Source organism: Homo sapiens, chromosome 18 (assembly GCF_000001405.40).
Source record: "Homo sapiens chromosome 18, GRCh38.p14 Primary Assembly".
Taxonomy (NCBI): Eukaryota; Metazoa; Chordata; class Mammalia; order Primates; family Hominidae; genus Homo; species Homo sapiens.
The window spans coordinates 40,673,571-40,684,622 of record NC_000018.10 but is presented as its reverse complement, the minus strand read 5'-3'; the positions used below and the strand labels follow the sequence as shown (position 1 = coordinate 40,684,622).

Sequence of the window (11,052 nt, the reverse complement as noted above, 5' to 3'; positions counted from 1 at the left end):
ACAGAATGATATTATTAAAATATTCTTTTATATCCTTGCTTTTCGGGTCTTTTGGTTAAATACGTTAAGCAAGCACAATGTTTTATCTGCAACTGTTGGAAATTCTGGCTTGAGGGCTTCTCTTAAACATTGAGATTGTTGATATATATATATATATCAAAAAAGAAAGAAAAAAAAAGACAGAGAACTCACCTGTCGTTGTTCCTCAATCTCCCAAATCCTTAGCCTGTCTGCACTTTTTCTCCATTTTTCAGAGTCTTTTGACTCTGGCTTTTGTGTTTTTTCCAATTTTTTTTTTTTTTTGTCATTAGCAGAAGGAATAAAATGGAATGTGCTTCCTCTGTCGTCTCAGAAATGAAATTTTCCCTAAATGTAGCTAAACAAACAAACCAGTAGCAAAAAGATAAAAGGAGAATATTTATATGTGATTGAATTAATGAATACACTTCTATATGGTCAAAAGAAGAATTATAGAGGAAGAATCATAGAAGACATCATAGAGGAAGTCAAGACAAATTTTAATTGAAAAATAAAGAAAATACTGTACACCAAAATACATACACTGCAGCTAAGGTCATGGTAATATGGAAATGTATTGCTTTAAATAAACATACTAATAAAGCTTAGAAGATGAAAATCAATTACTTAAGTATCCATCTTAAGAACGATTAAATAAAAAGAAGAACTAGGAAGGAAATAATAAAAATACAACTAGAAATTAACAAAATAAAGGACTTATATACTAGTCAAAATCAATAAGATCTTAACTTTTAGAAAATCTAATAAAATAAAAAATTCTTTAGTGTTTCTGATGAAGAAAAAGAAAAAAATAGGACAAATCAACGACAGTACAGATGAAAAGGAGACATAATTACAGATCTCTCTGATATTAGGAAGATTATAATATGATGTTATAAATAATATGTTTGAAAATTCAGTTGAAATAATTTCCTAAAATATAGAACTGATAAAACTGAAAACAGAAAGAAAGAATATGAGGATTTATATAACTACTGAAATTAAAGAAATGACGTCTATAATTAAAAATCATTACATAAAGAAAACATCAAGTCCAGATGGCTTCACCAGTAAATTGTACCAAACACATATAGAAGAAAGAACATCATTCTAACACAAACTCTTCCAGACAATTGAAAATAGGAAATGGTTACTAAATCATTTGTTGGTGCTAACAAACACCCAGATACCAAAACCTGACAATAGTATTTTCTTCTAAAGGCAAATTACTGGCAGTCTGACTCATAAACATTTTGTAAATTCCTACACAAATTTTAATACAGTGAATTCAACACCATATGTAAAGTTTAAACCAAGATATCCAAGTTAGGTTTATTTTTAGAAAACAAGATTGGGTTAAAAATCAAAAGACAAATTAACATAATTCAGGATTTTAACAGAATAAAGGAGAACATTCACAGACATAAAAAGATGCAGAAATTACATTTGATAAAATTCAACATCCTTTAGTGGGAAAACTCTTAGCAAAATTGTAAAAGAAAGAATTTTCCTTAATTTGATTTTAAAAATCTACAACAATCACATAACAAACATATCTTATGAGGAAATGTTGAAAACTTTTGAAAGTAAAAATTACTTATATTTTGTGTTTTATTAAAAGGCCTAACTAGTGAACCCATGTAATCAATAGAAGGAAAATAAATAATAACTTCAAAGGAATAAATAAAAACTGTCAAATTTTAAGATTACATATATATGTGTGTGTATATATATTTAAAAATCTAAAAATTAAATTCTACACATAAATAGATTGTTAAGTGAGTTTGATAAGGAAGCCAGGTACAAGGTGTGGTAGGTAGAATTTTAGTGATGTACTCTCAAGAGTCCCATATTCTGATTATTCAAGCAAACACATGTGTAGATACTATTGTGCATGAATTGTTTGGATGTCATTTTTTATTTTGTTATTTATTTATTTTTCGACGAGTCTCGCTCTGTCACCCAGGCTGGAGTGCAGTGGCATGATCTCGGCTCACTGCAAGCTCTGCGTCCTGGGTTCAAGCAATTCTCTGCCTTAGCCTCCCGAGTGGCTGGGATTCAGGGGCCTGCCACCACGCCCCGCTAATTTTTTTGTATTTTTAGTAGAGACGGGGTTTCAGCATCTTGGCCAGGCTGGTCTTGAACTCCTGACCTCGTGATCCACGCGACTCGGCCTCCCAAAGTGCTGGGATTACAGGCGTGAGCCACTGCACCTGGCCAGAAGTTATTAAGATTATTAATCAGTTAACTTTAAAATGGAGTGGTTAACCTGGGTTACCTGGTCGGGCCCAATGTAATAACTGGAGCACTTAAAAGCAGAAAAGGAAGGCAGAAAAGTAAGAGAGATCTGACAGAGAAGGAGGCGGAGAAGAGATGAAGCAGAAAAGAGATGAAGCAGAAAGTGAGGTCACAGAAACTTAAAACAAGAGAAGAAGTTGACTCACTATTGCTGGCTTTCAAGATGGAGGAATGAGCCAAGAATGTGAGTGCCCTCTCGAAGCTGAGAATAAACCCTGGCTAAAGCTAGTAAGAAAAAAAAGGGAAATCAGTCCTGTAACTCCGTGGAACTGAATTATGCCAATAATTTTCATGATGTTGGGAAAAAAATCGTCCACAGAGCCTCTAGAAAGACATCCAACTGAGCCACGCTGAGTCCAGACTTCTAACTGATTAAACTGTGAGATAATAAATGGGTGTTGTTTTAAAGCCACTAAGTTGGTGTAATTCGTCACAACACCATTAGAAAACTAATACGCGGATTGAATATTCAAAAAGAAATTCCATTTCTATGTATCGCTAACCAACAGAAAGGGAAAGTAACCATGTTTAGCATTTATAATAGCATAAATATACACAAGAACAAAAGTTAACCAGATATGTGAAGACCTCTGGAAAGGAATTGCACTTATTTATTTAGAAAAATTAATGATGTCCTAAATAATTAAAAGGATATTCCCTCTTCATGGCCTGGAAGACTCAACATTTTGAAGAAGTCAATACTCTCCATATTGATCTTTATATTCAATGCAGTCCCAATCAAAATCCCAGTACATTTTGTTTTAGTAATTGACAAACTGATTATAAAATTTATATAAATGCAAAAGACCAAAGATAGCAAATACAAAATAAGTAGCTGGAATAACTTTCTTTCTCAGATCTCAAAGCTTATAACAGAAGTTGCAATAACTAAGGCAGTGTCTTATCAGGGCAAAAAATATATACAAACAAACCAGTACAACAAAATAGCAAGTTCATAAACTGACCTGTGCATATATGGGTACTTGATTTATATCAATATTTCCATTGCAAAACAGTAGAAAAATACTTTTTTTCAATATGCGTGTACTGGTGGTGTAATTTGAATCCATATGAAAAAAATACTTGAAACTAGATTTCTAACAAGTTTGTGTGGTCACTTACACATACAAAAATTAATTCAAGACCATAATCCTTAAGGTCAAAGGCAAGACAATATAGCTTCTGGAAGATAGTAGAGTTAGATGTTTTCATGACCTCAGGATAAGAACAAATGGGCAAAACAACTTGTTTGCAACATAGTGGGGAAGAAATGAATGTAAATACACCTGAAATATAAGATATAAATTCCATCTCGGTAACATTCATTGAGGAAAGCATGTGGGCTCAGAAAAGGAGAAATAAATAGTTTAGCATTGTAGAAAGTGAAGATTGGGAAATAATTACTTTTATTATTTTTTAAGCACCAGAAAGTGAATGAGATAGGCATTGATATCCTGACATGACTAGGAGTCTATTAGTTGACCTTTGAAATCAGAATTATTTGTTTCTGTTTTTAAATTTTACAAATATTATTTTTAAAACTATGTTTACAAAGATGTCAAACATGCATATCAAAGTAAAGACCATGACAATCATTTATCTATCACCCAGTCTCAATGATTATCAAAGCATGTCCAATGTCCCTTCATCTAGACCTTTACACAAATTTCAGAAATGCTTTTATTGATTAAAGAAATCAATAAGGGAAATATTAAATATGTTTATTAAAATATGCTTTGCAAGTGTGCCATTTATGCTATTTAATATTTGTAGTAATCCAGAAACATAGGTGATATCATTACCATTTTACAGTTAAAAAACTGTGAAAGCTCATGTGTCACTTCAGGTCTTTGTGGGCACACATGTCTTAGTTAAAGCAGTTGCTTCAGTTTTACTCCTGCTCAGTTTGGACTCCCAAAAAGGTGCCACTTAACACTACCTTCCCTTATATCCATGTCTCAGGCCTTTTATCTCTTTCCTATGATTCCTTGTTGATGTCTTTGCTGGACTTCAACTAGACTTCCATGCATTCATAACCAGGAAAGCAAGGGACAAACTTTTGAACAGTAGGAAATACAAAAAAGATGATTTTTCTCCCATTCTCCTCTTTGATAAAGAGTCTTGAGATGCCACAGACCTTGCTCCCTGGGGATAATTCCATTAAACTGGGTAACTGGTTTCACTTAATGGCAACCACCCTGATAATATATCTTCCTCATGGCTCTCTCTTCTGCCCTGCATTTCTGTGCTTATCCATTGCTTTTGTTATCTTGCCCAGCAATCCATTATGAAAGAATAGAATAGAAACCCTCTACCTTAGGCTCTGTTCTCTGTTTAACTCAGGCTAAAGCATCAGCTCAATAACTGAAGAATTTTGACTAAGTTTACACAGCTATCATGGGTCAAAATTAAAATTCAAACTAAGGGTCTTCTTAATCCAAAGCCAGCGTTCTTCATCTGCATTGTTCAGCATCATAAGAGAATGTCAACTCTGTTTATGTGTAAGGTTGGCATTGATAATATGGACTAATTTCACTGAATTTTAGATAATTTTTGAATTTATGATATAGGAAATTAGGAATTATTCAATCTGGGGCCATATTAAAGGACTTTTTCAGGTAATCTTTGAGTGTCCATTCTTATTTGACAGTGGTAATAAATCACTGATTGGAATCTGTCATGTGTCTTCAGTTCTTGTTAACTGGTGAGCATCACTGCTATATGATTGGGAAGGGACCCAGGTATTTAATTGCAGAGATTCAAATATTAGTGGCTATAGGCTTTTTTTTCTTTTCTGTTTCTCTGAAGGAGAGCCCTCCAGCATCCAGTCTGGTAGTAAGAATTACTATTACTGTGCAGGTAAGGAGAACTGAGTATCTAATTGTTCATTCCAGGTTTTCATACAGTAATTCTGTTTCAGTATATCACCTCCCTGCCATCCCTCCTTTGCTTGATGTACACAACAATCTGGTTTGATTTTTATAGAAAATAATCTCTTATCCTCTATGAGTGTTTGGAAAGGGCAGCTGCTTAAGTGCTTGGAATGATGGAGAAGACATCTATGTATAATATCTCATCAAACAAAGTTTTAATTAATCCACTGCTTTTAGTCTCATATTTCTCTTTTACAGTTGAGGTGTGTGAATCTTCCCATTCTTGATTTATCTCTGAGTTGCCCTACTTTGGAAACTTCTCTCTATACAGAAATATTTTAAGGCTTTGTGCTTTGTCAAATCATTAACAATGTCTTATCTATTTTTACATTCCAAAAATTTGTTGGCATGTCTCATCCACTCTTATTAATTTTGAACTTGTGATATTAGACCATTTCATTTGTAAACAGTTATTATATTGGAGCTTGAAGTAGATTAGAAATAAATACATGTATTTAGTCTGCCATGCTTGACTAAAATTTTTATGGTGTATTTTCTATTTTTTTTAAAAGCTACAGCTCTCATATTTTACTCAGTTTTTCTTTCAAAATTAAGAAAGAATGGTATTTGTAAGTTGATACTATATATCCCAGGTGTTCCTATAGGGAATTCCAGGATTTGACTCATTGGAGATACTATGCAGGGGAATTGAGCATTTGATAGCAATCTGAAATAAAATCACTCATTCATCAATTAATTAATTCATATATATTGAATATTTACTAGCTGCTGGGTTTGGGTTTGCAGGATTGCAAAGAAGAAACAGGAGGATTTTGTGTTAGAGAAAATTAAAGAAGATAGGTATGATTCAAGGCATGATGAATAAAAGTAAACAGGAAGAAAGCTAGGGTAAAAGGAGTTCTTACATTTCTTAAACTAGGCTAAACATTGGTTTCATTCATTATATAAATAGAAAGCTAATGAAACTTTTTAAGCATAAGAGCACCACAAGTTAACATGTTTAATTAAACAAATAAACTTAATATTGGAAAATGGATTGAAGTAGCCGGGAGACGACACCCCAACACCACTTAGAAGATTACTATAATGATCTAATTGAGAGATGATTGAGACTTAGAAAAAATGTGGTAATAGAAAAGGTGACAGACTTGAGGTTTATTGAGGAAAAGATCTTAAAGAATTTGATCTATATTGGGCATGAGTGGTAAAGGAGACAAATTTTCTAGTAATGACTCTTGGTTATTTGCCTTTGGTGGAGAATAATAGCATTTTCTAAGATGAAGAAGGAGTGGCAAAATTTCTAGAGCAGCTTTTGGCAGAGAATATCAAAATTTAATTACTTCGGAACATGTCAAATTTGTGGTCACTTTGAGATGTTCATTTTGTGATTACAGGAAAACATTTGGGTATTCATGCATGAGGCAAGATATATAATGTTCAGAGTCATTAGTATATTTATGATACTTACATGTACGGAAATTGGTTAGAGTTCTACTGAAAGAACTGTGGCCTATACAAGAATCTGAGAAATAACAGTAAGAAATAGAATTTTTTAAATATGTTATGAGGGACAGTGTTTTAAGTTAGAGAGAATGGTGAACACTGCTGAATGGTGTTTAAAAGTTCAGAAAGAACTAATCTTTTCTATGGGCGCAGTGGCTCACGCCGGTAATCCCAGCACTTTGGAAGGCCAAGGCAAGCGGATCACGAGGTCAGGAGTTTGAGACCAGCCTGACCAGCATGGTGAAACCTCGTCTCTACTAAAAATGCAAAAATTAGCCGGGCATGGTGGCATGTGTCTGTAGTCCCAGCTACTCAGGAGGCTCAGACTAGTGAATCACTTGAACTGGTGAGGTGGAGGTTGCAGTAAGCAGAGATCATGCCACTGCACTCCAGCCTGGGTGACAGAGCGAGACTCCGTCTCAAAAAACAAAAACAAAAAAAAGTTTTGAAAGGTAAGGACCAACAATGCCTTGGCGGGAGGAATTGAGTAGGGTAGTGGGAACAGTAGGCAGGCTGGAGAGGGTTGACAAAGATAATAGGAGATAAAGAATTGGAGATACTGGTGCAGACAGCAATTACATGAAATGTGTATTCTTTTAAAGATGTGAGGTGTTATAGCCTATTTGTCAGTAGGAATTATCTAATTGAGAGACAGAGACAAAGTTGCTACAGTGGGAATAACTGAAGGAACAAATGTGTTGAGAAAGTAAAGTCCACGTTTGGAGAAACTGACTTCAGGGGACCGCAGGGTCACATTCTCTGCTGCAAAAAGGAGAAACAAGAAGAAATGAGATACAGAAGGTGGTGGTAGGATGAATTTCTGTTTCATGGCTTCCATTTTGTCAGTAAAGCCCTTCATACTAGTTATCCAGGTTGTTGAGGTTGAAGGGAGTGGGGAAGATGCTAAAGTATTACTGGTAATGAGAGGATAATTTTTTAAAATATAGTGAGATAGTATTGTTGTGTAGAGTTACGTGCCTATTTGAAGTTGGTTCTATGAGTAATAGAGTAACTTGTCTGAATCATCATCTGCCTCAGTAAGGCACAATCACAAGCAGTCTCCACTGAGCATGTGTGCAAAGATTAAAAAAAAAAAAAAGCCAGTAGTTGATTGCATATAAGGGTGTGGTTTTATCTGGTAGTACAATGATTTCAGAGAAAGACACTGAAGTTTGTATTTACTAACTACAGCATATGAGGACAATAATTATGGAGATAAAACAGAGTGGTGGAGGGGTGATTGATATAAAGAGAGAAGTAAATTGGGGCTCTTGATAAGTTGAAAAACAATTCCAGAGCAGATCTTAGATCAAGTGAGTTGCAAGGATAAGATGTCATTCTAGACAAGTGGATACTGGTTCCCTGACATTAAGATGTAGTTTCCGGTGCTGGTAAAGTTTCGGCAGTGGCCATAGGAGTAAATAAATGGAGCTGAGTGGAAGAAATGTTCATGATAGAAGAAGATGTCAAAGTGAGAGTCTAGAAATTGGATCCATATAGGTGTTGAATATATTAATACTAAACATAGTAACTAGTGTTTGGTAGAAACAAAGGCAGTGAGATTGGTCTAAATGACTGGTGTGATTCTTCCAAATTTTGAGATTTAATAATTCTGATTTTAAATTTTAATTATATCATTATATACTTTATCTTACTAAGAATTACTTTTTAATGATAAACTTAGGATAAAATAAAACTCTTCTGAAGATCATGACTAGCATCTTCTCATTGTTTCAAAAAAACTTTAGGTACAAATTTAAGGGAAAAAAAACACTACTATGAATAGCTGTCTTTTCATGAAAATTCTATAAGAATTGTATTAATATCTATTTATTAAATATTTTGATATTATTCACAGTGTGTATAAATAGGAAAATTACCTTTAATATTCATTTTTCTGTTAAAATTGTCATGTTTTTGAGAAATAAAGCTGTGCATTGTGTTATATCCATAATATAGAGAGAAACTAGGCAACATTCACTGTTTTTAATTCTCTAGTCTCTTACATTACTCCATCTATAGAGTTCAAGTGTCAAAGAAAAGAATGGATTCTTTCATGTGCAAAGAATTTGGCTTAAAGAAAAAGAAGCAAATGAAACTGGTTCCGTAGCACAGATTATACAGTATAATGCAATATAGTGGATCCACCTGCTGCAGGCTAACTGACTTTTAAGTCAGTCAGCCTTTTTAGAAACTTGAATTCATAAAGTTATTTGGGGAAATGCTGACAAATAGTATAAATGATTCCTTGGAATGTGGTTATATCTATACAAATGAAAACCTATGATAAATAAAAAAATAAGCAAATGAATTTCTGCAAGATACAATAACATGAGAGGAATAGTTGATTTTTTTTTGCTTATACTTTTAATCCAGTTGGTATGATTACATATCCATCCAAAGTTTATTTCAAAATTGTTTGCACCCAGTTCTATCAAGACTGTTCAGGGAACTCTGAGTACCAGATAATTCAAAATAATGTATAAAAAGATGTGAATGCAAGTGTGGATACATATATGTGGCAAAATGTGTATAACTTTAAAAATTCTAAAGCTTAACTTGGCTGCATGTTGGGAATATGTGAAATGAACTATTAAAAGGGTGTTTAAAACATCTGTTTAAAAGGAAGGAACAGTGTCAGATAGAATTACCGATGATAAAAGGAAAGCAGACAACTCCTTCATCATATACTTTGATTTAATATGTCATAAATGTTCTATAGTCTCAAATAGCCTCAAACAGTAATTATCCATGTTTCAGTGGCTCTACCTGTCCTATTAACAAGGAATCTCTTACCCTTCACTGTCATTCTTGAGTACAGTGATGACTGGAGCCAGCTAGAGTCACCACATGTGTCAGGCACCACTGACTATTTCTACCAAATCCACCAGGTCAGGCCAGGCTGAGCTAGCATGGCTGAGAAGTAGTGGACTAAGTTAATTTTATTGAACAGGGTATATTCAGAAGTTAGCACAATAACGGGAACAATATCATGTCCTCAGTTTTTTGGTTGATATATGCAATATTCAGTATACAAGTGAATAGAAAATGACAATGGAAATAATAAAGTCTGGTGTGATCCAGTGTTACAGCCTGTTGCTTCATGGGCTTATTGAGAGCTAGTCACAGACACTCTGAGAATCAAAAGGTACACATAGAATACTGGTTTATTTGCAATTGCTGGGACAGTGTATGGTTTTTGTCTGCTCTCTTCTGCTAGTTTCCTCTGGCTCCATTATTTTTCCCTTTGTCGCCTGTCTTTGTTTGCCACACTCAGAGATCCAGTGTGGCCATCCCATTCCATTCATTGGCTCAGAAACTCTTTTCCCTTAAACTCCTATCTCCTCTTTTCCTTTCCCATAGCTTTTGAGTTTATTTTCCAAGAGAGACAGAATCCCAGTGCCTCTAAGGGACAGGCAGTGTACTTGAATGAGTACAGAATCTGGAGGTAATCTAGGGGCGAATAAGAAATTCTAAGCCCTATGTCAAGGAGTATATGCCTTCAACTGCACTTGGCTCATGCCCTGGAAATACTGATTCTGTGCTGCTGGATCTTCTGAATTTCAAGAGTACTAAAAATATTTCCCTATTTAACATATTGGCAAATAAATCCTCAAAATCAACAACAATAAAGCATCATTGGAGACCAAATAGAACACATCTGTGACATAAACCAGTCCTCAGTCACCAAATGGAAATCTCTCTTTTATCCTTGTTGGTGTCTCTTCTCCAGGTTTCCACACTTTCTTATGCTTATTTTCAATCTGTAAACTGCACAGAGTTTTCTGACAAGTGGTACATAATTATTTTAAATGAGCGGCAGATGGAAAGTCAAAAGACCTTCACCATGGCCTAAGTTCTCTTGTGATACTTGTGAAATAATTATCCCTTCTGCTCTGGCCAACTGGTAATAGCATGTGCCTCTTCTGTGCACTACATTTCTAAGATCTTAATTTGTCTCCTGTTCTTACGATTCATGGTTTCCTTCTAGAGAAGGGAAGAAGAAAAACAGAGTCCTATCCTTCTTCCCATGTGAAACAGAGAGCACATGATTGGAACAGATTACACAGCCTACAGAGGAGAAATATTGATTGAGAGATTTGTGTTTCCTGCAAGCTGGTCAAGTTTCTAATCTTGGTGTGTTCAAGTAGGCAGTACACTATTTGTAAGATCGTTGTTCAAGATTGTGTGGGATGGGGTTTCAATTAGAACTGCATATATCTCAGATTACTTCTAACTCTGAGATTTGATAGAACAAACAAAAAAACTTCTTTCTGTAGCTCATATTCTAAAACTCTTATTAAGTTCTCTGCTGAAAATCAAAGTTGTAACTTACTGA

General features: G+C 34.4%; 1 annotated feature.

The window, feature by feature from the left end:
• Nucleotides 2,057–2,557: an enhancer, noted in NCBI's record as "H3K4me1 hESC enhancer chr18:38262030-38262530 (GRCh37/hg19 assembly coordinates)". NCBI's record gives its function as "activates a minimal SCP1, AML or CMV promoter by ChIP-STARR-seq in primed H9 embryonic stem cells {active_cell/tissue: H9 hESC(primed)}" and the evidence as "EXISTENCE:reporter gene assay evidence [ECO:0000049][PMID:30033119]".